The sequence below is a fragment of the Homo sapiens genome, chromosome 14 (genome assembly GCF_000001405.40).
Source record: "Homo sapiens chromosome 14, GRCh38.p14 Primary Assembly".
Lineage (NCBI taxonomy): Eukaryota > Metazoa > Chordata > Mammalia > Primates > Hominidae > Homo > Homo sapiens.
In genome coordinates this window covers 49,524,556-49,551,374 of record NC_000014.9, presented here as the reverse complement: position 1 = coordinate 49,551,374, position 26,819 = coordinate 49,524,556, and the positions used below count along the sequence as shown (strand labels likewise).

Sequence of the window (26,819 nt, the reverse complement as noted above, 5' to 3'; positions counted from 1 at the left end):
TTTAGTCAAACGACAGATGGATGAATGCTCAGTGATTTATCTGTTGGCCTTTCACGTTAACTTTACACAGTTTAAGTCCAAAATCTGCATTCCAGATACTTGAAAAGAAAGAACACTGTTCAGTTGACCTTTATTTAACAAGAAGAAATTTCAGCTGGCTCAGGGGTTTCTTACAACGTTGTAGATTGACATTTCATACAAGGAGGAGACATGATGATTACTGTTATTGTCGTGTGTGTGTGTGTGTGTGTGTGTGATCATTGAACATTTAAGTAATCTAAACCAAGGCATTTTAAACCAAAGCAGTGCTTATCCCTAATATACCCCAGGAGTATCTCATGAACAGCTATATAGGCTTAGGAAGCTAGATGGCAGAGTAATCACACAGTTAAAAGGCTTTATATGCAGTTGCAGGGAAAAACTAAGCTTTTCTTCAATTAAAAAAAAGAAGACATTCCTGCTTACCTGTCTGAATGGTAAAAAAAGGTAGTCTAATATGATGATTTAAAAGGAACAATTTTTAAGGTTAAAAAATCAGAAAAATTTCCCTTATGTCAGAGATTTGATAATAATAACCAACTTCATGCATTAGCGTTCTTTAAAAGAGTAATGGAGTGCATTTAGAGGCGTGGACTTGGCAGCAGCCTGAATGAGTAGTCTCTCTTAAACCTTTCTAATGATTAGCCTGTTACTTAAGTTTCTACCTATTATATTTCTTTCTTTTCTTTGCGGCTCTCATCTGTAAAGTATGTATCAATACTTTACATTATGATGATCAGGAATAAATCCAAATGACTTGAAAGTACCTAAGATAATTGATGAAAAGGTTATGCAACCAGGGGGAAAATATAATAAGTTAATAGGTACCTAGAGATCAGGAGTTTGAACTACCAAGCTTCAGATTCTCAGTCCTGTGACCTTGGCCAGGTTGTGTAACTTCTTAAATCACTGCTTTTTTTATTAGTAAAAATGAGGATCATAATAGTACCATGTCATAGACTTGTCATGGTTATTGTGAAGATTGACCACCATTATGTTGTAATATAATAAGAAATATATATTTAGTCTCTGCCATTTGATCCCGGCACACAGCTCCTAAATCCCTTGAAATCCCTTAAGTGGTAAGTGTCTTTTTGTATGCTAATGACATGACTGGTGGCCCGGGCTCTCAGCCTTAGGAGTGGGGGTGCTGGTTGCCAGGGATACCAACCATGTGATTAGAGCCTTGGGGCTTTCAACCTCACCCCTCAACTTTTAGATAGGGGAAAGAAGCTGAAGGTTAGGTTGATCTTCACTGGTCAATGATTCAATGAATCGTGCCTATGCAATGAAGCCTTCATAAAAACCCAGAATGACTCAGCTTGGGGAGCTTCTGGATAGCTGAACATGTGCAGATGCCTGAAGCCTGGCTCGCCCAAAAGGGCATGAAAGCTCTACGCCCCTCCCCTGCACCTTGACCAATTCATCTCTTCCATCCAGCAGTCCATCTGTATCCTTTGAATATCCTTTATAATAAGTGGGTAAATGTAAGTAAGGTGTTTCTTTGAGTTCTGTGAGCTGCTGTAGCAAATTAATCGAACCCTGGGAGGAAGTCATGGGAACCCTGATTTACAGCCTTTTGGGCAGAAGCACAGGTCACAACCTGGGGCCTGCAATTGGCATCTGAAGTGGGAGGCAGTCTTGTGAGAGGAGCCCTTAACCTGTGGGGCCTGATGCTATCTCCAGGTTGATAGCATCAGAGTTGAATTGAATTAAAGGGCATTTATTTGGTGTCTGCTGGAACACTGATTGCTTGATGTGTGGGAAGAAATCCCCAAACACCTGGTGTCAGAATGTTTTGTTGAGTCTATGAGAAAAGGAAAAACACTTCTTTTTTTTTTCTCTATCTCTAAGAACCACAGTTCCTGGTGTGTAGAGAATAGTCTGTACGTGATAGTTATTGCTACTACTGCATTTTGTTTATGTAACTTTGCACTTAAGTATACACATTTCTTTAAATCCTCACAACATTTTATCAGGTAAGTATTATTGTCTTCATTTACCTATGGTTGAGACTAGGTCAGACGGGTCATCAGCTTGAAGTGGGAGCCTGGAACTCATCCAGACCCAACTCCATGTCCAGAGCTCTTCCCAGCCACCATTCTGCTTTCCAAAAACAAGAAAAACTGCAAATGAAGAACCTTGGGTTCTTTTTGAAATGCAAGCAATTCTAAACTCTCCAAGAAGTAAAACCTCTTAAGGCAAGACAAGGTAGAAAAAGATGTCCACTAGCAAACCATTCAGAGAGCTGGGGGTCTGTAGGATTAGGGAATACTTATGATTCAGGTGCACAGTATGAACTGCCTGGAGGAGTGGGCAGAGCGTGGCTCAGTCCAGGATCTTGGTGAGCCTGCTATAAGGTCTTTGAAGGCAGATATCATCATCTTTGTACTCCCTGTCTTACTGCTTGGCACAGTAGGTGCCTCATAAGTGTTTGTTGACCTGTACGTACTAATACCCTATGAAAAAACTTCTATTATAATAACTATGTTGGGATGGTGTAAAAATTACTAATGTGAGAGTGTATTAGTCTGTTTTCACACTGCTGATAAAGACATACTTGAGACTGGGCAATTTACAAAAGAAAGAGGTTTATTGGACTTATAGTTCCACATGGCTGGGGAAGCTTCACAATCATTGTGGAAGTCAAGGAGCAGCAAGTCATGCCTTACATGGATGGCAGCAGGCCAAAAGAGAGCTTGTGCAGGAAAACTCCCCCTTATAATAACCATCAGATTTTGTGAGACTTACTATCACAAGAATAGCTTGGGAAAGACCTGCCTCCATGATTCAGTTGCCTTTCACTGGGTCCCTCCCACAACACGTGGGAATTCAAGATGAGATTTGGGTGGGGACACAGCCAAACCATATCAGGGAGTATTCACGGACATTGCATCCCCTATCCTGGAGCCCATTGAAAGAATTCTGCAGGGGCCAGCCCTAGTTTCCTATTGCCTTCTCTGCTGGTAAGTTTTCCTCTCTCTCTCTCTCTCTCTCTTTCTCTCTCTGTGTGTGTGTGTGTGTGTGTTGGACAGTTATAAATTAGACCCCCGTATTTTTCTGCTCAGGCTGCCATAACAGAATACTACAGACAGAGTAGCTTAAACAATAGAAGTTTATTTTCTTATAGTTCTGGAGGCTACCAGTCTAATATCAATGTGCTGGTCGAGTTGGTTTCTGGTGAGAGTTCTCTTCCTGGCTTGCAGATGGCTGCCTTCTCGTTGTGTCCTCATAGTGCCTTTGTGTACATGTATTTCCAGTGTCTCTTCCTTTACTTTTTTTTTTTTTTGAGACAGAGTCTTGCTCTGTCACCTAGGCTAGAGTGCAGTGGTGTGATCTTGGTTCACTGCAACCTCTGCCTCCCGGGCTCAAGCTATTCTCATGCCTCAGCCTCCTGAGTAGCTGGGACTACAGGCATGTGCCACCACGCCTAAGTTTTGTATTTTTAATAGAGATAGCTTTCACCATGTTGGCCAGCCTGTTCTCGAACTCCTGACCTCAGGTGATCTGCCTGCCTTAGCCTCCCAGAGTGCTGGGATTACAGGCATGAGCCACCATGCCTGATCTTCTCTTTCTTTCTTTTTTGAGACGGAGTCTTACTCTGTCGCCCAGGCTGGAGTGCAGTGGCACGATGTCAGCTCACTGCAAGCTCCGCTTCCCGGGCCATTCTCCTGCCTCAGCCTCCCGAGTAGCTGGGACTACAGGCGCCTGCCACCACGCCTGGCTAATTTTTTGTATTTTAAGTAGAGATGGGGTTTCACCATGTTAGCCAGGATGGTCTTTATCTCCTGACCTCGTGATCTGCCTGCCTCGGCCTCCCAAAGTACTGGGATTACAGGTGTGAGCCACTGTTTCTGGCCCTTTTTTTTTTTTTTAAATAAGGACACAAGTTCTATTGAATTAAGCCTCCTTCCTTACAACCTTATTTAATCTTAATTACCTCCTTAAAAGCCCTATCTCCAAATACAGTCACATGGGGGGTTAAGGCTTTAATATGTGGATGGTGGAGGGGGAGCACAGTTCAGTCCATATCAACTCCCTTCAATGCTAATTGACATGTGTGGAGAAAATCTCTTCAAAAATTATTCTGACTACTAACCACTGTACTTTGACTGTGGCACAGTTCCAGGGCAGGCCCATGTGGTTTGCTAGTGCTCACCTTTTTCTACCTTGTCTAGCCTTAAGATGTTTCACTTCTTGGAGGGTTTAGAGTTGCTTGCAGTTCAAGTCTATACCTTACTAGAGTCACAAAGTGTCCTAAGTAGCAGAGCTGCCTTTGTGCATACCAGCACAGCTGGAGAAAGCTATCCTGGAACACAAATTCTCTTTGGCTTTGAAGTTAACAGTTGGTTGACTCACTTTGGAGTCTCATCCTTCACTGGTGTTTTTGATTCCCTCATACCCAAATAAAACCCAGAAAGGGTGGTTTGGCACGGTCTGCATTTGTTGATTGTTTAGTCAATATGTGAACTGCATTTACCTTTTAAACCTCAGTCTCTAATTGCAGGAAAAAAGGCTTTTTAAGAATCAGCAAGTTGGTGGGGAGAGATTTCTTTGGGTAGGGATCCTTGCAATCATCCTAGGCCCCCTTTAATATTGGCCTTGGGAATAGCCCTGATTTAGTCTCTTTGGATAGGGCCAGGAGGAGAGGCGAAGGAGTATGTGGTCTTTCCAGAGGGCGTCCTCAGTTTGTAGGGGCTGCTGAAATCTATTCCTGGGTCCTGGGAAGCCCTGCCCTGGCACCTATGATGTGGTGGGACATCTCTTTCTCCTGACTGCCCCTTCTTGCTGTCTATTGCTGGCCCTCCTTTTCAACTTTACTAACCTTGCCCCAGGTTTTATCTGTTTTAAAGATCAAGACTTCCAGGTGTACATTTTGCAATTTCCAGCCAGATGATCTTAATTAGAAGCTAATGACTTTTATCTGATTACCTTTTAACTGTAGAATCTTCTCACTACCACTCCAGAACACAAGTCTATATCTCTTTTATTATTTCCATTTCTGATGATTTTACTGACAAAGCAGTGTTGGAACTGTATCCTCTTATCAGTTGGACCATCTCTAGAAAACACAAAGGGAGCTGCAAGGAAATCCTGGCCCACTGCTGGACTCTAAATGTGGCTGACACTGATCCGTTCAGTGTTAATCATTGGCGTATCCTTATATTGTTTCAAAATTCAGCATCCACGTGACTGGGCCTATATAAAGGTAAAGTACTTTTTGGTAAAGTACTTATAACAAGTCACAAAATCAGCAAATAAAGCTTGCTCAGTCTAAATGGCATCACGTGTAGAAAGGTAATGAACAGCACTAAGAAGAACACGACAAGTAAATGAGTGGTTAAGACAAGGCCTATGAGAGCTCTAATGAGGAAGACCTCATTGTAGGCTGATGTGGCAAGAAGAGCTTTGCAGAGGGGTGGGCCCTAATGGGCCTATTAGGATCAGCAGGAAGAAAGGGAATGAGAACTTTGAAAGAGGAAAGGAATGTGGCAGCAGGAGGCCAGGATAGCTTGAGAGGAGAACTGAAACCTTGTGAACAGTAATGATCACTGGTTAGTTAACATTTATGGAGCCATTTTCTGTGCCTGGCACATTTTTTGGCACTCTATATACGGGTCCTATTTGACACATACCTGTGACCTTGGGAGGCAGACATTATCCTCATGAGACAACTGGAGCCCAGAAAGTTTAGGTCACTTGCCCAGGGTGACTCATTCTATTCTCAGGCCCATGTTCTTTTTCTTTCTCTTTTTTTTTGAGATGGAGTCTCAGTCTATTGCCCAGGCTGGAGTGCAATGGTGTGATCTTGGCTCACTGCAACCTCCGCCTCCCGGGTTTAAGTGATTCTCCTACCTCAGCCTCCCGAGTAGCTGGGATTACAGGTGTGCACCACCACACCCGGCTAATTTTTGTATTTTTAGTGGTGATGGGGTTTCACCACATTAGCCAGGCTGATCTTGCACTCCTGACCTTGTTATCTGCCTGCCTCGGCCTGACCTGAAGCCTATGTTCTTAATCACCAACTGCCTCCCTGTGGGAAAGCGGTGTAGGCCAACTTGGTAGGAGATAAGATCTCCTGGAATTTAAAACACTGGAGAATTTGGTGCCTTAGGAAAGCGAGAAAGTGTTGGTCAGAATGTAAGTATCCCTGGGCTATAGGCAGTCCTGGACTGCACTGGCCCAGGTAATTCAGACCTGACATTTAGAGTTGTGGCACAAGCCCTCGCTGGGCAGGTAGCTCTTTCTCCTGAAAAGAGATAACAGAATGACTCCACCATGGTTTTTTCAAGGGCAGGCCTGAAGCAGTTACTGGGGAGAAATGTCTCCCATATGGAGGAAGGCAGAGAGGGAGTGAAAGGAAATGGAGAGCAGGCTCTGAGAAGGCAGAAATAATAATGTGAACAACAGGAGAGGAAAGGAGGTGGGCGGGTGGGTGAAAGCACAGATATATCGTTATTGTTATAATCAAAGGGAGAGCGGATACTGGAGAGAACATTTCCTATTAATAAAAGATCTAAAATGACGGAGGAAAGGACAGTAGCTGAGAGGCGGCCTTCTTTGAAAAATATGGCCACTAAAAGGAATTCACCTTTCCAATTTGCACTGTACTTTACAGTTTCCCAAGCGCTTTTTCATCTATTATTTATTCTGACATCAGTGCTGTGAAGTATGGCATTATCAACTCTGTTTGACATATAAGGAGGTAGGTTTCAGAAAGGAAAGGTCCTATTTGAGGTCCTGTGACTGGTTAGATAGAGCTGGGACCAGAACTCAAGTCTTAGCCCTGCTGGACTTCACCCCCATCATAATGCCAGGGGGACAAACAGGGTCATCACATAGTAATTCAAACTTCGGGAAAAAAGCTGCAAGAGCTGCCTAGGAAAAGTTGAACATGGTGGAAAATTTCTGGGGAATCTATTAATGTATAATTATGGAAAGTTTATTGAAATTCATCTAGTTAAGATTGAATTTATACAAACACTTTATTAATTTATATTCAGGTGACCAGAAAAAGCGACTCTGAATACAAAGAGTTTGTATTATCTGGTATTCCTTGTTCTAGCTGCAGAAGAGTAAAGATTAATTCTTGATCTTTTTTAATGGTCTGATGATTTGTCTTTGCTCTCTTTCCCCAAGGGAAAAAGTTTCTGTTCACTTGCTCCTTAATGATAGCACTTTGCATTTGTTTAATGTTACTCAGTTTCTCTTGGTAGTGTACCCCACAGTAACAGAGACCTCAATGAATTTAAGAATCCAGTTTCCACTGAGCTTGCTATAGTTCATATTTCTTTCTGCTTTTTCTATATTGGCATGCTGACATTTGGAGAAGCGTCAGTTTGCTTCTCCCAACGCCCTTTATTCACACAGATAACTCCATTTCCAGTGTAACCCCTCTTATTCCTAGTCTTGGTATTTTGCCCTTATTCTTTAATCAAACTACTGATATCTGGAATTTTATTGTCTTTCCACATTATTAGTTATTTATTGCTGTGTAACAGATTACCCCAAATTTTATAACAAATTAAAAAAAACATTATCTCATAGTTTTTGTAGGTTGGGAACCAAGACACTGGGTTGACGTCTCTCACGAGGTTGCAGTTAAGCTATTGGGCTGCTATTATCTGAAGGGCTCCAGGATCCATTCCCAGTTCTCTCATGGCTGTTGGCAGGAGGCTTTAGCTCATTGCCATGTGGGCCTTTTTATAGGACTGCTTATGACATGGCTTCCCTCATAGTGAGGGATCCAGGAGAAAGAGGGAGAGAGAGAGTGTGAACAGCAGGTGGAAATCCCAGTCTTTGGACAACCTAATCTTGGAAGTGATATTTCTATCACTTCTTCCATATTCTAATCAATATATGTGACCCAGTAAGTTCAGTCCACACTCAGAGGGAAATTAAACTCTACCTTTTAAGGAGAGGCATATCAAAGAATTTATGGACATATGTTTAAAACAATCACATTAAATAATTATTTACAGTTTTCTGAGACAGGGTCTTGCTCTGTCACCCAGCTGGAGTGCAGTGGCATGATCATGGCTTGCTGCACCCACAACCTCCTTGGCTCAAGCGATTCTCCCACCTCAGCCTCCCTAGTAGCCAGGAGCATAGGTACACACTATGGTGCCCTGCTAATTACAATTTTTTTTCTTTTGTAGAGACAGGATCTTGCCATGTTGCCCGGGCTAGTCTCAAACTCCTGGGCTAAAGTGATCCTCCCACCTCAGCCCCCCAAAGCGCTGGGATTACTACAGAGGTGAGCACTGTGCCCAACAATTATTTACAGTTTTATGACTATGTGCTAGACACTTGCTAGGCTTTAGGGATTTAACAAGGTTCTTGACCTTATAAAAATTTAAGTCCAGAAGCCATGCTATTTTCTTCTATTTCCTTTCTACTCCCTTTTGTCCAGGGATACGCCACTGAGATCCAATCTGGGAACTCACCTCTTCTCTAATACCATACTAATGGCAGCTGGTGGCCTAACTCAGTGTCAGAAAATTTTCATTTATCTGGAGCCTGAGCTGGTGGAAAACTGAGGTCCTTTTTAAATATTATGAGTTTATCTGAGATTTTTGGAAAGCCAAAGGTTTTGTGGTTGTCCCACAGTTCTTTGGATATTCCAGTTTGCATTTTAAAATGTTTCTTCTCCTTGTTCTTTAGTTTTAGAAGTTTCTATTGACATACACTGTAGCTCAGAAATTCTTTCCTCAGCTGTGTCCAGTCTACTAGTAGGCTTGTCTAAGGCGTTCTCAATTTTTGTAATGTACCTTTGATCTTTAGCATTTATTTTTGGTTATTTCCCAGAATTTCCTCTCTCTGTTTACATTAACCATTTGTTCTTGCATGCGATCTAATTTTCCCATTACAGCCCTTAACATTTAATCATAGTTGTTTTAAATTCCCAGTCTGATAATTCCAACATCTCTGCCATATCTGAGCCTGGTTGTGATGTTTGCTCTGGTCTCTTCAGACTTGGCTTTTGTCTTTCAGTTTGCCTTGTCATTTTGTTGTTGTTGTTGAAAACTGACATGATATACTGGCTGTATTAGTTTGTTTTCACATTCCTGTAAAGAAATACCTGAAACTAGGTAATTTATGAAGAAAAGAGGATTAATTGGCTCACAGTTCTGCAGGTTGTGCAGGAAGCATGGCAGCATCAGCTTCTCAGGGGAGGCCTCAGGAAACTTCCAATCATGATGGACGGCAAAGGGGGAGTTAAGCATCCCACATGGCCAGAACAGGAGCAAGAGAGGGGGGAGGAGGTGCCACACACTTTTAAATGACCAGATCTCACAAGAACTCACTCACTATCATGAGAACAGTACCAAGGGGGAAACCCACCCCCATGATCCAATCAGTTCCCACCAGGCCCCACCTCCAACACTGGGAATTACAATTTGATAGGAGATTTGGGCAGGGACACAGATCAAAACCATATCATTCCACCCCTGGCCCCTCCCAAATCTCATGTCCTTCTCACACTGCAAAATGCTATCATGACTTCCCAACAGTCCCCCAAAGTCTTAGTTCATTCCAGCATTAACTTGAAAGTCCAAAGTCCAAAGTATCATCTAAAACAAGGCTCATCCCTTCTGCCTATGAGCCTGTAAAATAAAAAAAGGTTAGTTACTTCCAAGATACAGTGGAGGTATAGGCATTGGGTAAATACTCCTGTTCCAAAAGGGAGAAATCAGCCAAAAAAAAGGGGATACAAGTCCCATGCAAGTCTGAAACCCAGCAGGGCAGTCATTAAGCTTTAAAGCTTCAAAATAATCTCCTTTGATTCCATGTTCCACATCCAGGACACACTGGTGTGAGAGGTAGGCTCCCAAGGCTGTGAGCAGCTCTACCTCTGTGGCTGCTTTCATGGGCTGGTGTTGAGTGCCTGTGCCTTTTCCAGGTGCACGGTGCAAGCTGCCAGTGGATCTACCATTTTGGGGTTTGGAGGATGGTGGCCCTCTTCTCACAGCTCCATTAGGCAGTGCCCCAGTGGGGACTCTGTGTGGGGGCTCCAACCCCACATTTCCCTTCTGCACTGCTCTAGAAGAGGTTCTCCACGAGGGCTCCACCCTTGGAGCAGGCTTCTGTCTGGACATCCAGGCTTTTCCACACATCTTCTAATATCTAGGTGGAGGCTCCTAAGCCTCAACTCTTGCACTCTGCAAACCCATAGGGTTAACACTTTGTCAAAACTGCCAAGGTTTATGGCTTGCACCTTCTAAAGGGCCTACAGCAGCCCAAGTTGTACCTGAGCCCCTTTGAACTATGGCTGGAGCTGGAGCAGCTGGGATTCAGGGAGCAGTGTCTTGAGGCTGTACAGGGCTGCAGGGCCTTGGGCTCAGCCCCTGAAACCATCCTTCCCTCTTAGGCCTCCAGGAGGGTCTGCCGAGAAGGTCTCTGAAATGCTTTCAAGGACTTTTCTTCATTGTCTTGGATATTAGTACTTGGCTCCTTTTCACTTATGCAAATTTCTGCAGCCTTTGAGAGAGTTGGGATGGAGGTGCCACACACTTTTAAATGACTAGATCTCATGGGAACCTACTCACTGTCACAAGAACAGCACCAAGGGGGAAATCTGCCCCCGTGATCCAATCACCTCCCACCATGCCACACCTCCAACACTGGGGATTACAATTTGACATGAGATTTGGGTGGGGTCACAGACCCAAACCATATCACTGGGTAAAAATAAATCTCTATAAATAGGCCTTAAGTGATGTGGTGGTAAGGTGTGGGAGGAGGGGAAGCAATCTGTAGTGCTATGATTTGCTGTGACTGGGGCTTTTAGTGTGCCTGTGCTGTTGGACTGTGAACTTCACAAGTGCTTCTCAGTTTATTCCTTTCTGAGGTTGGACAGAATGGCTCGGGAGTGCTGCAGTTGGGTGTTTCCCTTCCTTTGGGTTGGTTAGGTCTAATAAACCCCAATAGGTTAGGCTGTAGTAACCATAGTTTCTCTTGAGGGCAGGCCTTGATAAGAAAAACAAAATGCTCTGGTGCATGTAAAAATGATTCTTTTCCCCCTTTCCTGACTAGAAGCCAGGAGGAATTTTTCTCCAGTCTTCTCTCTGAGAATTTGGTAGAGGTTCTGGAGGTAAAACTCACAAAAATGTGGGGACCCCCTCAATGACTGGATCCCCTAGGAGTTTGTCCACACTGAGGCTCCAGCAATTCATGAGTTTTCCTACCCTAGAACTGGTTCCTGTGGAAGTTTCTGCTCTGATAAGTTGTGATTCTCTGTATCTGTCTGTCTCTCCAATTTTATGGGCAGAAGTTTGCCTCATGACCTCACTTCTCTGACAGATCTAGGAAGAGTTTTTGGTTTTTCAGTTTTTGTTCATATTCCACCTGTTAGAATAGAGTAGTGACTTCCAAACACCTTACATGCTATACCATAAGCTAGGGGTTTTGTAACATCATTACCACAATCATCATATCATATTCTTTCTGGACTAATCATCATATCACATTCTTTCTGGACCATTTTCTGCTCAGACTTATTGAGCAATTACTATGTTCCAGGTGGTATTCTAAGTGTTCTACCTGTATTGTGAACAACCTTATGAGAGTAGCACGTACTGATTTAGTTTGAGTTGCCTAGAGGCAGAGCCTGCAACAACATTTTGTGTACATGAGATTTATTAAGAGAATGCTTTTAGGAAAAACTGGTAAGGGAGAGAAGGAAACAGAGTAAGGAAAGAAGGTGCTACTTAGGGGTGGGATTTCAGGTGTGGTCTCAGCCTGATCCACTGGGAGCTCTTGAGTGTAAATTGCACTATGTCCCGTTGTTGAGGAAGGGGGCAGGGCTATTGTACACTTGTCCTATTAGTTACAAGTCATGGTGAAGGCCTTCCTGCCCTTTCCATTTTTACAAACAAGGGAATTGAGGCACAGAGAAGTTGAAGAATTTGCTTGAGGCCACATGGCAAATTAGTGGTGGAATTGAGTTTGGATCCCAGACATTCTGGCTCTCAAGTTATATTTTTATATTGCATTTTATAAGGAACAACCAACTACTTCTCTTATTTGACCTTCCAAAACTCTATGAGAGAGTTGGACTCCAATGATTATTCTTATTTTTCAGATGAGGAAACTGAAGATAAGATCTAAGTTTTTCTTTTTTTTAAATTCCAGGTCTAGGTCTTCTGTCTCCCTGTAATGTCATTCTCTCATAAATCACTTAGAGATTGTTTCGCTGACCAAATGACATACGATAAAATAACAATCACCTGATTTAGGAACAGACAACTTGAAAACGATAGCGTTTCTGTACTCAGGTGATTCACATGATTTAATGGAAAACCTTATCTGGTCAGTAGGGGAGTGTTCCTAGCTCTTACTCATATGTTATTTTAAATCACTGGCTGGTTTTCTCTTAGGTGAATAAATTTACTGTTTTGTAATTACAAAGTAATAACAAGAACAGCAGTCTGGTATTAAAAAACTATTTATTTATTTATTTAATTTTTTCAAGACAGGGTTTTGCTTTGTTGCCCAGGCTGGAGTGCAGTGGTGCAATCTCAGCTCACTGCAGCCTCAACCTCCTAGGCTCAAGCGATCCTCCTACCTCAGCTTCCTGAGTAGCTGGGATTACAGGCACGTGCCACCATGCTTTGCTAATTTTTGTATTTTTTGTAGAGATAGGGTCTCACTATGTTGCCCAGGCTGGTCTCAAACTCCTGGGCTCAAGTGATCCTCTCACCTCAGCCTCCTGAAGTGCTGGGATTACAGGAGTGAGCCACCACACCTGGCCCAGCATTCTGCATTTAATTCCTGATTAAAGAATAGTTAAACATTTTTATAAGAAGAGCTTATACCAGGAGGGAATTCAGGATGTTATTGGGGAGAATCATACACTTATTTATTATCTTCATTAATATTCTGAGAAAAAAGGAATTATAAGTTAATGAGGAGGTTATAAATTTCAGTAGAAAAGAGGAAGGAGAAACTTGGGAAAAAGCTATTTCATCTCGGGCAGCATAATTTGAAACAGAGCTTTTTAATAAGTAGGCTTTTTGGAATTAGTTTCTTGAAAATCTTAAGAATACAGGAAGAATGCAAACAATGGAAGTTTGCACTGAAATATTGAAACAGAACAAACTGCTGAAATGTGTGGTCTACATTTGCTGCTTCTGTTTCTTATTCCCCAATTCCTTTTAAATCCCTTAAAACCTGATTTCTAGTCATTTGTCAATTGCTCCTAGACTTATTCTCTACTCTTTTCCTGTTTTGTCTGTATCAAACCTACATTTCTGAGTAAGTGTGGACAATGAGAGGAGCTGGCAGAGGATGTCAGGTGGTTTCTTTGGCAGTGGCTCAGTCTCCTCCATGATTCTAGGTTCTACAGCCCTTTTTCTGTAGTCCCAGCTCATGGTAGGTAGCCTCTGCCCTTCTGATTTCCACCGGCAGGCCTGGCTCCTGGCTTTGGTATCACCCCCCTGTCTTGTGTCCTATCAGCCCTAGCAGTGGCAAAACTTCCAGGTATTTATTGCTAATCTCTGCATTAACTTGTTGTCTGTTTAGCTTCTCAGCTCTTCTATCACTCAAGTAATGAATTCCCTGTATTAAATTCTTCCTGCTTGAATTGTCTCCTTTCAATTTTGTTGTTTTTATTATTATTTTTATAGAGATAAGAGCTCACTCTGTTACCCAGGCTGGAATGCAGTGGTGTGATCATAGCTGACTGTAACCTTGAACTCCTGGGCTCAAGCAATCCTCCTGTCTCAGCCTTCTGAGTAGCTGGGACTACTACATGTGTGAGCCACTGTGTCTGGCTAATTAAAAAATTTTTTAGTAGAAATAGGGTCTCACTATGTTGCCTAAGCTGGTCTTGAACTCTTGGCCTTGAATAATCCTTCTGCCTTGGCCTCCCAAAGTGTTGGTATTACAGGTGTGAGCACCATGACTGGCCTTTAATTTTTAATTATTTGTGTCTGTTATAGTTTTGTTCTTGCACTCTTCTTTTTCCCTCTCCTTCCGCCTTGCCTTACCTTGCCTTGCCTTCCTTCGTTCTTTCGTTCTTTCATTCTTTTTTGACAGGGTCTCACTCTTGCCCAGGCTGGAGTACAGTGGCGCGATCTCAGCTCACTGCAACCTCCACATCCCAGCTTCAAGCGATCCTCCCAATGCAGCCTCCCTAGTAGCTAGGACTACAAGTGTGTAGCATCACGACTGGCTAATTTTTGTATTTTTAGCAGAGACAGGATTTCACTATGTTGGCCAGGCTGGTCTTGAACTCCTGACCTTGATCTGCCCGCCTTGGTCTCCCAAAGTGCTGGGATTACAGGCTTGAGCCACCGCTCCTGGCCCCACCTCGCAATGCCACAAAACCTTTGAGCTCTAGATGCCACAAGTTACTTAGAGGACGAAGATAGCTCCTGGGCTCAGAAACATACAGAAGTTTAACACCAGTGGCAGGGTATAGCGATAAGTAATAAAGAATAAAGAATACTGCGGGCAATTACATGAAATTTAGGTGATTTTTCTGTTTTCTACCTGCATGGCTCTGGTCTGGGATCTCAAGCTGAAATACCAGCAGAGTCCAGGCAAGTAACATAATTGAGTGAAGGGATGGGTAAAAACAAATGGTCTCCTTTTCTTTTTTAGGAGATGGAATCTTGGTTTGTTGCCCAGGCTGGTCTCAAACTCCTGGGCTCAAACAATCCTCCTGCCTAAGCCTCCCAAAGTGCTGGGATTACAGGCATGAGCCACTGTGCCCAGCCTTTTTTTTTTTTTTTTTTTTTTTTTTTTTTTTTTTTTTTTTAAAAAAAAACCTTTTATTTTAGGTTTAGGGGTACCTGTACAGGTTTGTTATATAGGTAAGCTTGTGTCATGAGGGTTTGTTGTACAGATTATTTTGTTACCCAGGTATTAAGCCTGGTTACCCAATAGTTATTTTTTCTGATCCTTTCCCTCCTCCCACCCTCCACCCTCTAGTAGGCCCTAGTGTCTGTTCCCCTCTTTGTGTTTGTGTGTGCTCATCATTCAGCTCCCACTTATAAGTGAGAACATGCCATATGTGGTTTTCTGTTCCCGTGGACAGACGGTCTCTTCATTTGTGTTCATTTGATAAAGAAATACTTTGTGTGCATATTAAAACATAGGAATACTCTTCCCTTTCATAAGAAACATGTTCTCTTCCATTTTTCAGGAATAATTCTGCCTTCTTCGTCTATCTTTTGTTTTCCCATTTAGTAGAGACGTAAATACAGAAAAGGACTTTTCTATTATTTTTTTCTTATTTATTTATTTATTTATTTTTTATTATTATGCTTTAAGTTTTAGGGTACATGTGCACATTGTGCAGGTTAGTTACATACGTATACATGTGCCATGCTGGTGTGCTGCACCCATTAACTCGTCATCTAGCATTAGGTATATCTCCCAGTGCTATCCCTCCCCCCTCCCCCCACCCCACAACAGTCCCCAGAGTGTGATGTTCCCCTTCCTGTGTCCATGTGATCTCATTGTTCAATTCCCACCTATGAATGAGAATATGCGGTGTTTGGTTTTTTGTTCTTGTGATAGTTTACTGAGAATGATGGTTTCCAATTTCATCCACGTCCCTACAAAGGACATGAACTCATCCTTTTTTATGGCTGCATAGTATTCCATGGTGTATATGTGCCACATTTTCTTAATCCAGTCTATCACTGTTGGACATTTGGCTTGGTTCCAAGTCTTTGCTATTGTGAATAATGCCGCAATAAACATACGTGTGCATGTGTCTTTATAGCAGCATGATTTATAGTCCTCTGGGTATATACCCAGTAATGGGATGGCTGGGTCAAATGGTATTTCTAGTTCTAGATCCCTGAGGAATCGCCACACTGACTTCCACAATGGTTGAACTAGTTTACAGTCCCACCAACAATGTAAAAGTGTTCCTATTTCTCCACATTCTCTCCAGCACCTGTTGTTTCCTGACTTTTTAATGATTGCCATTCTAACTGGTGTGAGATGGTATCTCATTGTGGTTTTGATTTGCATTTCTCTGATGGCCAGTGATGATGAGCATTTTTTCATGTGGTTTTTGGCTGCATAAATGTCTTCTTTTGAGAAGTGTCTGTTCATGTCCTTCGCCCACTTTTTGATGGGGTTGTTTGTTTTTTTCTTGTAAATTTGTTTGAGTTCATTGTAGATTCTGGATATTAGCCTTTTGTCAGATGAGTAGGTTGCGAAAATTTTCTCCCATTTTGTAGGTTGCCTGTTCACTCTGATGGTAGTTTCTTTTGCTGTGCAGAAGCTCTTTAGTTTAATTAGATCCCATTTGTCAATTTTGGCTTTTGTTGCCATTGCTTTTGGTGTTTTAGACATGAAGTCCTTGCCCATGCCTATGTCCTGAATGGTAATGCCTAGGTTTTCTTCTAGGGTTTGTATGGTTTTAGGTCTAACGTTTAAGTCTTTAATCCATCTTGAATTGATTTTTGTATAAGGTGTAAGGAAGAGATCCAGTTTCAGCTTTCTACATATGGCTAGCCAGTTTTCCCAGCACCATTTATTAAATAGGGAATCCTTTCCCCATTGCTTGTTTTTCTCAGGTTTGTCAAAGATCAGATAGTTGTAGATATGCGGCATTATTTCTGAGGGCTCTGTTCTGTTCCATTGATCTATATCTCTGTTTTGGTACCAGTACCATGCTGTTTTGGTTACCGTAGCCTTGTAGTATAGTTTGAAGTCAGGTAGTGTGATGGCTCCAGCTTTGTTCTTTTGGCTTAGGATTGACTTGGCGATGTGGGCTCTTTTTTGGTTCCATATGAACTTTAAAGTAGTTTTTTCCAATTCTGTGAAGAAAGGCATTGGTAGCTTGATGGGGATGGCATTGAATCTGTAAATTACCTTGGGCAGTATGGCCATTTTCACGATATTGATTCTTCCTACCCATGAGCGTGGAATGTTCTTCCATTTGTTTGTATCCTCTTTTATTTCCTTGAGCAGTGGTTTGTAGTTCTCCTTGAAGAGGTCCTTCACATCCCTTGTAAGTTGGATTCCTAGGTATTTTATTCTCTTTGAAGCAATTGTGAATGGGAGTTCACTCATGATTTGGCTCTCTGTTTGTCTGTTGTTGGTGTATAGGGATGCTTTTCTATTATAAGAAAACACCCTGCAAGCCTGTTGCTGATTGACAACTCAAGGGTGAAAACACCGTCAGCCTCACATGAGAAGGTGGTAGGTCCGGGGGAAAGCTGGAGAGGGCATGCCTTGTCTAGAGCAGCTGCAGTTACTCAGTTCCAGTTGAGTGCTGCCCTACAGAAAATAGATCTGGTGTTGCCAGATTAAAAAAATTTTTTGTTTGTTTTGTTTTGAGACGGAGTCCAGCTCTGTCGCCCAGGCTGTAGTGCAGTGGCGAGATCTCGGCTCACCGCAGCCTCTGCCTCCCAGGTTCAAGTGATTATCCTGCGTCAGCCCCACTAGTAGCTGGGACTACAGGTGCCTGCCACCACGCCCAGCTAATTTTTGTATTTTTAGTAGAGATGGGGTTTCACCATGTTGGCCAGGCTTGTCTCAAACTCCTGACCTCAAGTGATCCACCCGCCTCGGCCTTCCGAAGTGCTGGGATTACAGGCATGAGCCATCGCAGCTGGGGGATCTTTCAGCTTTTAAGAGAAGCCAGGAATCTACATTTTAATATGATTATTTCCCTATTTGAAAACACTTGGAGACGTGTACTGTATCTGATTTTTTTTCTTGGATTTTCCAGTTATATCAGCAAACCTCCGATTTGAAAACATATTTACACTATGTTGTATGGAATGTACTGCATCCATGGCCATTTTCTGGCATCCCATTGGGTTCAGCCAGTGAGAGGAAGAGGTAGGAGGTGGAGGGAGGGAGGAGAATGGCATCTCCAAGCAGATTGCTCTCATGGCTGGGCAGTGAAGATCACTCCTTTTGGACCATGGCTTTGGCTGTCACGGAGGAAATTATTAATCGAATAACATTACAACTTGATGCCTAAAAAAGCTAGATCTACAACTCACTGGCATGTCCTTGACCAATCTTAGTATAAAGTTTTGCTTTCAATTGTTGTTAGAAGCAGGAGTTTACTTCTCATTGGTCCGTTTTCATCAGAAGTGGGATCTTATTTCTCATTGGCTTCACTGCTTCCAGCTTTTTTATATAACAATGCCAGTAACTGGCATGTCTTTTGCAATTAGCAGTTTTAGATGGGTAGAAAGTTACTTTTATTTTTGTTTTTATAAATATTTAATTTTTAATTTTTGTGGGTACACAGTAAGTATATATATTTATGGGATACATGAGATGTTTTGGTACAGGTATACAATGTGTAATAATCACATCATGGAAGATAGGGTATTCATTCCCTCAAGCATATATCCTTTGTGTTACAAAAAAATCCAGTTATACTCTTTCAGTTATTTAAAAATGTGCAATTAAACTATTTTGACTATAGTCATCCTGTTGTGTTATCAAATACTAGGTATTATTTATTCTTTCTACTTTTTTTGTACCCATTAAGCATCTCCACCCCCCCTCTGCCCTCCACTACCCTTCCCAGCCTCTGATACTCATCATTCTACTCTCTATCTCCATGTGTTCAATTGTTTTGATTTTACATCCCACAAATAAGGGACAACATAGGATGTTTGTCTTTATGTGCCTGGCTTATTTCACTTAACATAATGACCTCTGCTTCCATCCATGTTGTTGCAGATGATAAGATCTCATTCTTTTTTATGGCTGAATAGTACTCCATTGTGTATAAGTAGCACATTTTCTTTATCCATTCATCTATTGATGGACACTTAGGTTGCTTCCAAATCTTGGCTATTGCAGACAGTGCTGCAACAAACACGGGAGTGCAGCTGTCTCTTTGATATACAGATTTCCCTTCTTTTGGGTATTTATCCAGCAGTGGGATTGCTGGATCATATGGTAGCTCTATTTTTAGTTTTTCGAGAAACCCCCATACTGTTCTCCATAATGGTTGTACTAACTTACATTCCCACCAAGAGCATGTGAGGGTTCCCTTTTCTCTACATCCTCTCCAGCATTTGTTAGTTATTGCTTGTCTTTTGGATAAAAGCCATTTTAACTGGAGTGAGATGATATCTCATTGTAGTTTTGATTTGCATTTCTCTGATGATTAGTGATGTTGAGCACCTTTTCATATGCCTGCTTGCCATTTGTATATCTTCTTTTGAGAAATGTCTATTCAAATCTTTTGCCCATTTAAAAAATCAGATTATTAGATTTTTTTCCTATTGAGTTATTTGAGCTCCTATATATTCTGGTTATTAATCCCTTGTCAGATGGGTAGTTTGCAAATATTTTCTTCCATTTCGTGGGTTGTCTCTTCATTTTGTTAATTGTTCCCTTCACTGTGTAGTAGCATTTTAACTTGATGTGATCTCATTTGTCCATTTTTGCTTTGGTTGCCTGTGCCTGTGGGGTACTACTCAAGAAATTTTTGCTCAGTCTAATGTCCTGGAGATTTTCCCCAATGTTTTCTTGTAGTAATTTCATAGTTTGAGGTCTTAGATTTAAGCCTTTAATCCATTTTGATTTGATAGGGATCAAGTTTCATTCTTCTGCATATGGATATCCAGTTTTCCCAGCACCATTTATTGAAGAGACTATTTTCTCCAATGTATGTTCTTGGCACTTTTGTCAAAAATGAGTTCACTGTAGGTGTGTGGGTTTATTTCTGGGTTGTCCATTCTGTTCCATGATCTATGCATCTGCTTTCATGCCAGTACTATGCTCTTTTGGTTACTATAGCTCTGTAGTATAATTTGAAGTCAGGTAATGTGATTCCTCCAGTTTTTTTCTTTTTGCTCAGGATAGCTTTGGCTATTCTGGGTCTTTAGTGGTTCTACATAAATTTTAGAACTGTTTTTTCTATTTATGTGAAGAATGTCATTGGTACTTTGATAGGGGTTGCATTGAAACTGTAGATGGCTTTGAATAGTATGGACATTTTAACAATATCAATTCTTCCAATCCATTAATATGGAATATCTTTTTTTGTGTGTGTGTGAAAACGTTTCTTGCATCAGTGTTTGATGGTTTTCATTGTAGAGATCTTTCACTTCTTTGGTTAATTCCTAGGTATTTAATTTTATTTGTGGCTATTGTAAATGGGATTATTTTTTGATTGATTTTTCAGATTTTTGACATTGGCATATAGAAATGTTACTATGTTTTATATGTTAATCTTGTATCCTGCAACTCTACTGAATTTGAATTTATCACTTCTAGTAGTTTTTTGGTGAAATCTTTAGGTTTTTCCAAATATAAAGTTATATAGGCTGGGAGTGGTGGCTCACGCCTGTAATCTCAGCACTTTGGGAGGCTGAGGTGGGCGGATCACCTGAGGTTGGGAGTTCGAGACCAGCTGACCAACATGGAGAAACCCTGTCTCTACTAAAAATGCAAAATTAGCCGGGCATGGTGGCACATGTCTGTAATCCTAGCTACTTGGGAGGCTGAGGCAGGAGAAACTCTTGAACCCGGGAGGTAGAGGTTGTGGTGAGCCAAGATCACACCATTGCACTCCAGCCTGGGCAACAAGAGTGAAACTCCATCTGAGAAAAAAAAAAAAAGATTAAATAATCTGGAAACAATGATAATTTGACCTTTTCCTTTCCAATTTGGATGCCCTTTATTTCTTTCCTTCTCTTGTCTGATTGCTCTAGCTACGAGTTCTAGTACTATGTTGAATAACTGGTGAAAGTGGACACCCTTGTTATGTTTCAGATCTTACAGGAAAGGCTTTCAGTTTTTCCCCATTCAATATGATAGTAGCTGTGGGTCTGTCATATATGGCTTTTATTATGTGGAGATATGTTCCTTCCATACACACTTTTTGGAAGGCTTTTATCATGAAGGGATGTTGAATTTTATCAAATGCTTTTTCAGCATCAGTTGAAATGATTAAATGGTTTTTATCCTTCATTCTGTTGATATGATACATGATATTGATTGATTTGCATATGTTGAACCATCTTGCATTCCTGCAATAAATCCCACTAGGTCATGATGAGGGATCCTTTTTTTTTTAACTTTTATTTTAAGTTCAGGGGTACACGTGCAGGTTTGTTACATAGGTAAACTTGTGTCATGGGGGTTTGTTGTACAGATTATTTCATCACCCAGGTATTAAGTCTAGTACCCATTAGTTATTTTTCCTGATCTTCTCCCTTCTCCTATCCTCCACACTCCAGTAGGCCCCAGTGTGTGTTGTTCCCCTCTATGTGTTCATGTGTTATTACCATTTAGTTCCCACTTACAATTGAGAACATATGGTATTTAGTTTTCTGTTCCTGGGTTAGTTTGCTAAGGATAATGGTCTCCAACTCCATCCATGTCACTGAAGGGGACATGAGATGAGTGATCTTTTTTTTTTTTTTTGAGACGTAGTCTCGCTCTGTCGCCCAGGCTGGAGTGCAGTGGCGCGATCTCGGCTCACTGCAAGCTCCGCCTCCTGGGTTCATGTCATTCTCCTGCCTCAGCCTCCCAAGTAGCTGGGAATACAGGCGCCCGCCACCATGCCTAGCTAATTTTTTTGTATTTTTAGTAGAGACGGGGTTTCACCATGTTAGCCAGGACGGTCTCGATTTCCTGACCTCGTGATCCACCTGCCTCAGCCTCCCAAAGTGCTGGGATTACAGGTGTGAGCCACCGCGCCCAGCCGATGAGTGATCTTTTTAATGTATTGTTAAATTTGGTTTGCAAGTATTTTGTTGAGGATTTTTTGCATCAATATTCATTAGAGATAATGACCTGCATTTTTCCTTCTTTGATGTATCTTTGTCTTGTTTTGGTGTCAGGGTAATATTGGCCTCATAGAATGAGTTTGGAAGTATTCCCTCCTCCTCTATTTTTTAGAATAGGTTGAGTAGGATTGGTATTAGTTTTTCTTTAAATGTTTGATAGAATCAGCAGTGAAGCTATCAGGTTCCAAGCTTTTGTTTACTGGAAGACTTTTTATTATGGCTTTGATCTTCTTACTTGTTATTGGTCTATTCAGGTTTTGGATTTCTTCATGGTTCAATCTTGGTATGTTGTATGTGTATAGAAATTTAACCATTTCCTCTAGATTTTCCAATTTATTGGCATATAGTCGCTTATAGTTACCACTAATAATCTTTTGAATTTCTGCACATCAGTTGTAATGTCTCCTTTTTCATCTCTGATTTTATTTATTTGAGTTTTCTTTCTTGTTTTCTTTATTAGTCTGGCTAAAGGTTTGTCAACTTTGTTTATCTTTTCAAAAAATGAAATTTTTGTTTCATTGATCTTTAGTGTTGTTTTCTTCATTTCAAATTCATTTATTTCTACTCTGATCTTTATTATTTCTTTTCTTCTGATTTTGGGTTCAGTTTTTCTTGCTTTTCTAGTCCTTTTTTTTTAAGATGGAGTCTTGCTCTGTCACCAGGCTGGAGTGCAGTGGCGTGATCTCGGCTCACTGCAACCTCTGCCTCCTAGGTTCAAGTGATTCTCCTGCCTCAGCCTCCCAAGTAGCTGGGACTACAGGTAAGCGCCAACATGCCTGGTTAATTTTTGTATTTTTAGTAGAGACGGGGGTTTCACTATATTGGCCAGGATGGTCTTGATCTCTTGACCTTGTGATCCGCCCGCCTCGGCCTCCCAAAGTACTGGGATTACAGGCGTGAGCCACCGTACCCAGCCACTTTTCTAGTTCTTTAAGATGCATTATTAGGTTATTTTTTGAAGTTTTTTTTGACTTTTACTTTTTAAAAATAGTATTTGCAGTTCATAAACATACTAGGTCTTTGCTCTCATTCCCTCATTTCCCAGGGTAGAATAATCACAATAAAAACATTTTGGGTACCCCAAATTAGAAAACATAAGATCTACCTCTTAACACGTCCTTTAAGATGGTTTTAAAGATCTGCTTGTTTTTGCTCTTTGTACTCTGCAGTTTCCTGATCCCTCATGTTTCTTTGAATTCTGTCAGCCCCTTCCTGGTTTCATTTCTTTATCATTCCAGATGAAATTTCATGGCACATCAATCCTTCAATCTTCCTTGCTGGCATCCTTAATTCCTCTGTTCCCTTGTCTGTTTGTTAGACCTGTCCTGCAACTTCCAATTCATATCTTCTTAACATCTAGGGAGCTCCATCTACAAAACCTGAGAGTCTGAGAAATGCTGGAGGCAGTCACACAACATACACATATACTGGCATAGATGAAGGTTTATAGCATCCAATGTCAAGGCAATGTACAACTCTGGCAATCCTTTAACATTTTCTTCCACCTCTCCAAGTCTTTCCAGGCTCCCAGCTCTCCTCCAGCTACCTCACTTTCTATGGACAATCTTACCTACCATTTTCCCGGGAAAAGACAAACAGTAATTGCTCCATGTCTACATTTGTCTCATCAGCATCAGCCTTCACCTCCTGCTGCCATGCTTTCAGGATGAGTCTCTCCTTCCCACGGCTCATCTGTGAGCTGAAGTACTACCCCTCCAGTCTCTTCCTCACTCTATGAAATTTCCCTTCCATTTTCTGTACTTTTATCCTCTTCCTCTCCAATGGCTTCTTCCTTGCCAAATATAAACACTTTAAAATCTACCCTATAGAAAACAATGGCAACAAACACACATCTGCTGGTGGCCCAATGCCTCTTGTAGATATTCCCCTGCTCACCTCCAGCTCTCTTCTTCCCTTCACAGTCAAGTCTCATCCCAAGGCTGTCTACACTGCCTCACCTTTGTTTACTCTTCAGTCATCAGTAATCTATTTTCTTCCCCATTTTGAAAAGGTTATCAATGACTTCCCAGTTGTTAAATTCAATAGACACATTTCAGTTGACATTTTATTTAAACCTTATGGGGCATTTGACCTTTTTGACCACTCCATTCTTGAAATTCTTCTCTACATTTTCTTGGCACTATTCTCCTGTTTAATCTAGTTGTCTCGTTCTTTCTCAATCTCCTTTGTTTAGTCTTTAAATATTAGTTTCCCTTAGGGAAATCTTCCTCAACCTCTTTCCTCTCAACCTCCTTGTATTCTTATTTTCTACCTTCTTCTTGGGTAGTCTCATCTCTGCTCATGACTTCAATCATTTACATGAGTTACTTCCAAAGTCACTGTGCTTAGTCTACTCTCTCTGGAACTCTAATCTAGCGTATTTGATGTATTTTATTTATTTATTCTTTTGTGAGACGGAGTCAGCTCTGTTGCCCAGGCTGGAGTGCAGTGGTGCAATCTTGGCTCACTGCAACCTCCATTTCCCGGGCTCAAGCGAATCTCCTGCCTCAGCCTCCCAAGTAGCTGGGATTACAGGCGCATGCCACCATGCCCAGCTAATTTTTGTATTTTTGGTGGAGACAGGGTTTCACCATGTTGCCAGGTTGGTCTCAAACTCTGATTTCAAGTGAGCTGGCCGCTTCGGTCTCCCAAAGTGCTGGGATTACAGGCATGAGCCACCATGTCTGGCCTATTTAATATATATTTTAGTGGTATATTGCAAAGGTGCATGAAAACAACACTTTTAAAACTTACCTGAGCTCATTATCTCTCCTTCTAGTGATCTCCATCCCCACCCAACCTTTCGGGAATTCCCACCAGTCCTTATTTCTGTGAAGTACACTATCAAAACCCAAGTTCCCTGGATAGGAAATTTGGGCATCATTCTAAACTCCTCCATTTTTTTTTTCTTCTTAGAGATAGAGTCTTGTTCTGTTGCCCAGACTGGAGTGCAGTGGCATGATTATAGCTCATGGCAGCCTTAAATTCCTGGGCTCAAGCCATCCTCTTGCCTCAGTCTCCTGAGTGTCTGAGACTACAGGTGCACACCACCATACCCAGCCTCAATTCCTCCTTTTACTTTGCTTCTTTCTGAGCTTGAAGTTAATTTATCTTTTCTATTCTGTTTTCTAAAAATCTTTGATACTTTTCTCCTCTTTTCCATAGCTGTTGCTTCTCCTCTTTAAATTTAGACTCTCTTGCTTTTTCTTTTAGAAGATTTGTGAAGCTGTGTGACCTGCCTCCTTGCAACTGCCAGAGCTGCTCAAAGCTCCAAGATTCCCTGCTGGGCAGCCACATACCTGCCAAAGCATTGTGTTCAAGGCTCTCAAGAAACCAGCCATGAAAAGCTTCCCACTTCAGGAAAAATCCCTTGCTTGACTTATTCAGAGATCATGGAGGCCAATACAACTGCAGACCAGAGAAAAAAAATCTGGCTTTGTTGCTGTTAAAACTCAATTCAAAGACTCAGGCTCCTTGAGATCCCTGCAGGGTGATTTTACTATTTTCCCAGAGGTAACCCAATTGGAGTCTATCTGACTGTGCCAGTCCAGATATTCATATTTTGTCTTTTTCCTCTGTCTTATCACTGGGGGAAACAGCTTGGAATTTAGGTTCATGAATACAACCTCCTTACTGTTTTGCTTTTTTTCCCTAGTGTCTCAAATCTTTTCCTGCTTCCCATCCTCTCCTCAGTTGTCAGTGTGATTTTCCTACATTTGGATGGATGTTTTCTTCCTATTTCCCATACACAGCACTTGGCCAAGAACATAAAGGGGAGATGTGGGCTACTGGGCCTGGGGGAAAAACTATAACATGTAGTTCCTCTTGCTCAAACTTTAGGGCTCTGTAATACCAACCTTCTTCATTCCATTAGGCAAAGCTCTAAGCCTATTTTCAGTTTCAGCTCAACCTCAATTTCCACCATGGTTTTCCCAGGAAAACTGTGCCTTCCAGCCTGCTCCTCACACTTTGTGCAAACCTCCCTTGCCCTTCAGCAACCCCTGCATTGTCATTGCTCTTTGCCTGCACGTTTTCTCACAGCAGTATATGCTCTGTGGGGGCAAGGATTTGCTTGCGTTTGCTTCTTGATATTTCCAGAGCCAAGCACATTCTAGGCGGTTTATTAAAGCTTGTTGGATGAATGAGTCAAACTTTACATCCCTCTCCATAAGCAATGCAAAAAACCCAAATCAACAAAACACAGGCATCCTCTCTCATTTGGATACATCACCATCTATCTGGTTATTTAGAAATATTCAAACTTTCATGTTTTTCATTTCCAAAATCCCCAAATTCAAAGTCTTGGTTTTTGCCCTCCTTCTTTTTTTTTTGAGATGGAGTTTCGCTCTTGTTGCCCAGGCTGGAGTGCAATGGTGCGATCTTGGCTCACTGCAACCTCCGCCTCCTGGGTTCAAGCGATTCTCCTGCCTCATATGTTAGTATGGATTCAAGTAGCTAGGATTACAGGTTTTAGTAGAGACAGGGTTCTCCATGTTGGTCAGGCTGGTCTCGAACTCCTGACCTCAGGTGATCCTCCCACCTCGGCCTTCCAAAGTGCTGGGATTACAGGCGTGAGCCACCACGTCTGACCCCCTCCTCCTTAAATGGCCTAGAGTTTACTTCCTATCATCCATTCCATTAGTACCATTTACTACCGTGCTTATCAATTTCTGTTTTCTCTCAGCAGAGATTAAGTAGGTTTTTTTTTTTTTTTTTTTTTTGGATTAAACACTGCTGCTTTAGCTCAGGTTGCTATACTAAATGACCACATATGGGGAGGTTTAAACAATAGACATTTATTTCACACATTTTCAGAGGCTCAGCAGTTTAAGATCAAGGTGCCAGCATATTCAATTTTTGGTGAGGATCCTCTTCCTGGCTTGTAGATGGCTATGTTCTTGCTGTATCCTCACATGGTGGAGAGTAGGAAGAGCTCCGGTGTCTCTTCCTCTTCTTACAAGGGCACTAATCCCATAATGGGGGCCCACCCTTATGACTTCATTTAGAACTAATTATGTCCCAAGGGCCTATGTCCTAATA

The 26,819-nt window shown here is 41.6% G+C and overlaps 1 long non-coding RNA gene across 3 annotated transcripts in view; it reads left to right on the top strand.

Annotated features, from left to right (window-relative positions):
• The first annotated feature begins 723 nt into the window (after window positions 1-723).
• Window positions 724-26,819, top strand: part of LOC107984701 (uncharacterized) — a 29,554-nt gene continuing 3,458 nt past the window's right edge. The window contains exons 1-3 of one of the 3 annotated variants that reach the window (XR_007064154.1): window positions 724-1,526; window positions 8,199-8,296; window positions 24,993-25,930. This is a non-coding gene — a long non-coding RNA (uncharacterized LOC107984701). Of the gene's footprint in view, window positions 1,527-8,198; window positions 8,297-22,497; window positions 22,540-24,992; window positions 25,931-26,819 lie in introns of those variants that run through there. The other 2 variants (XR_001750760.3, XR_002957613.2) reach the window with 2 other exon arrangements.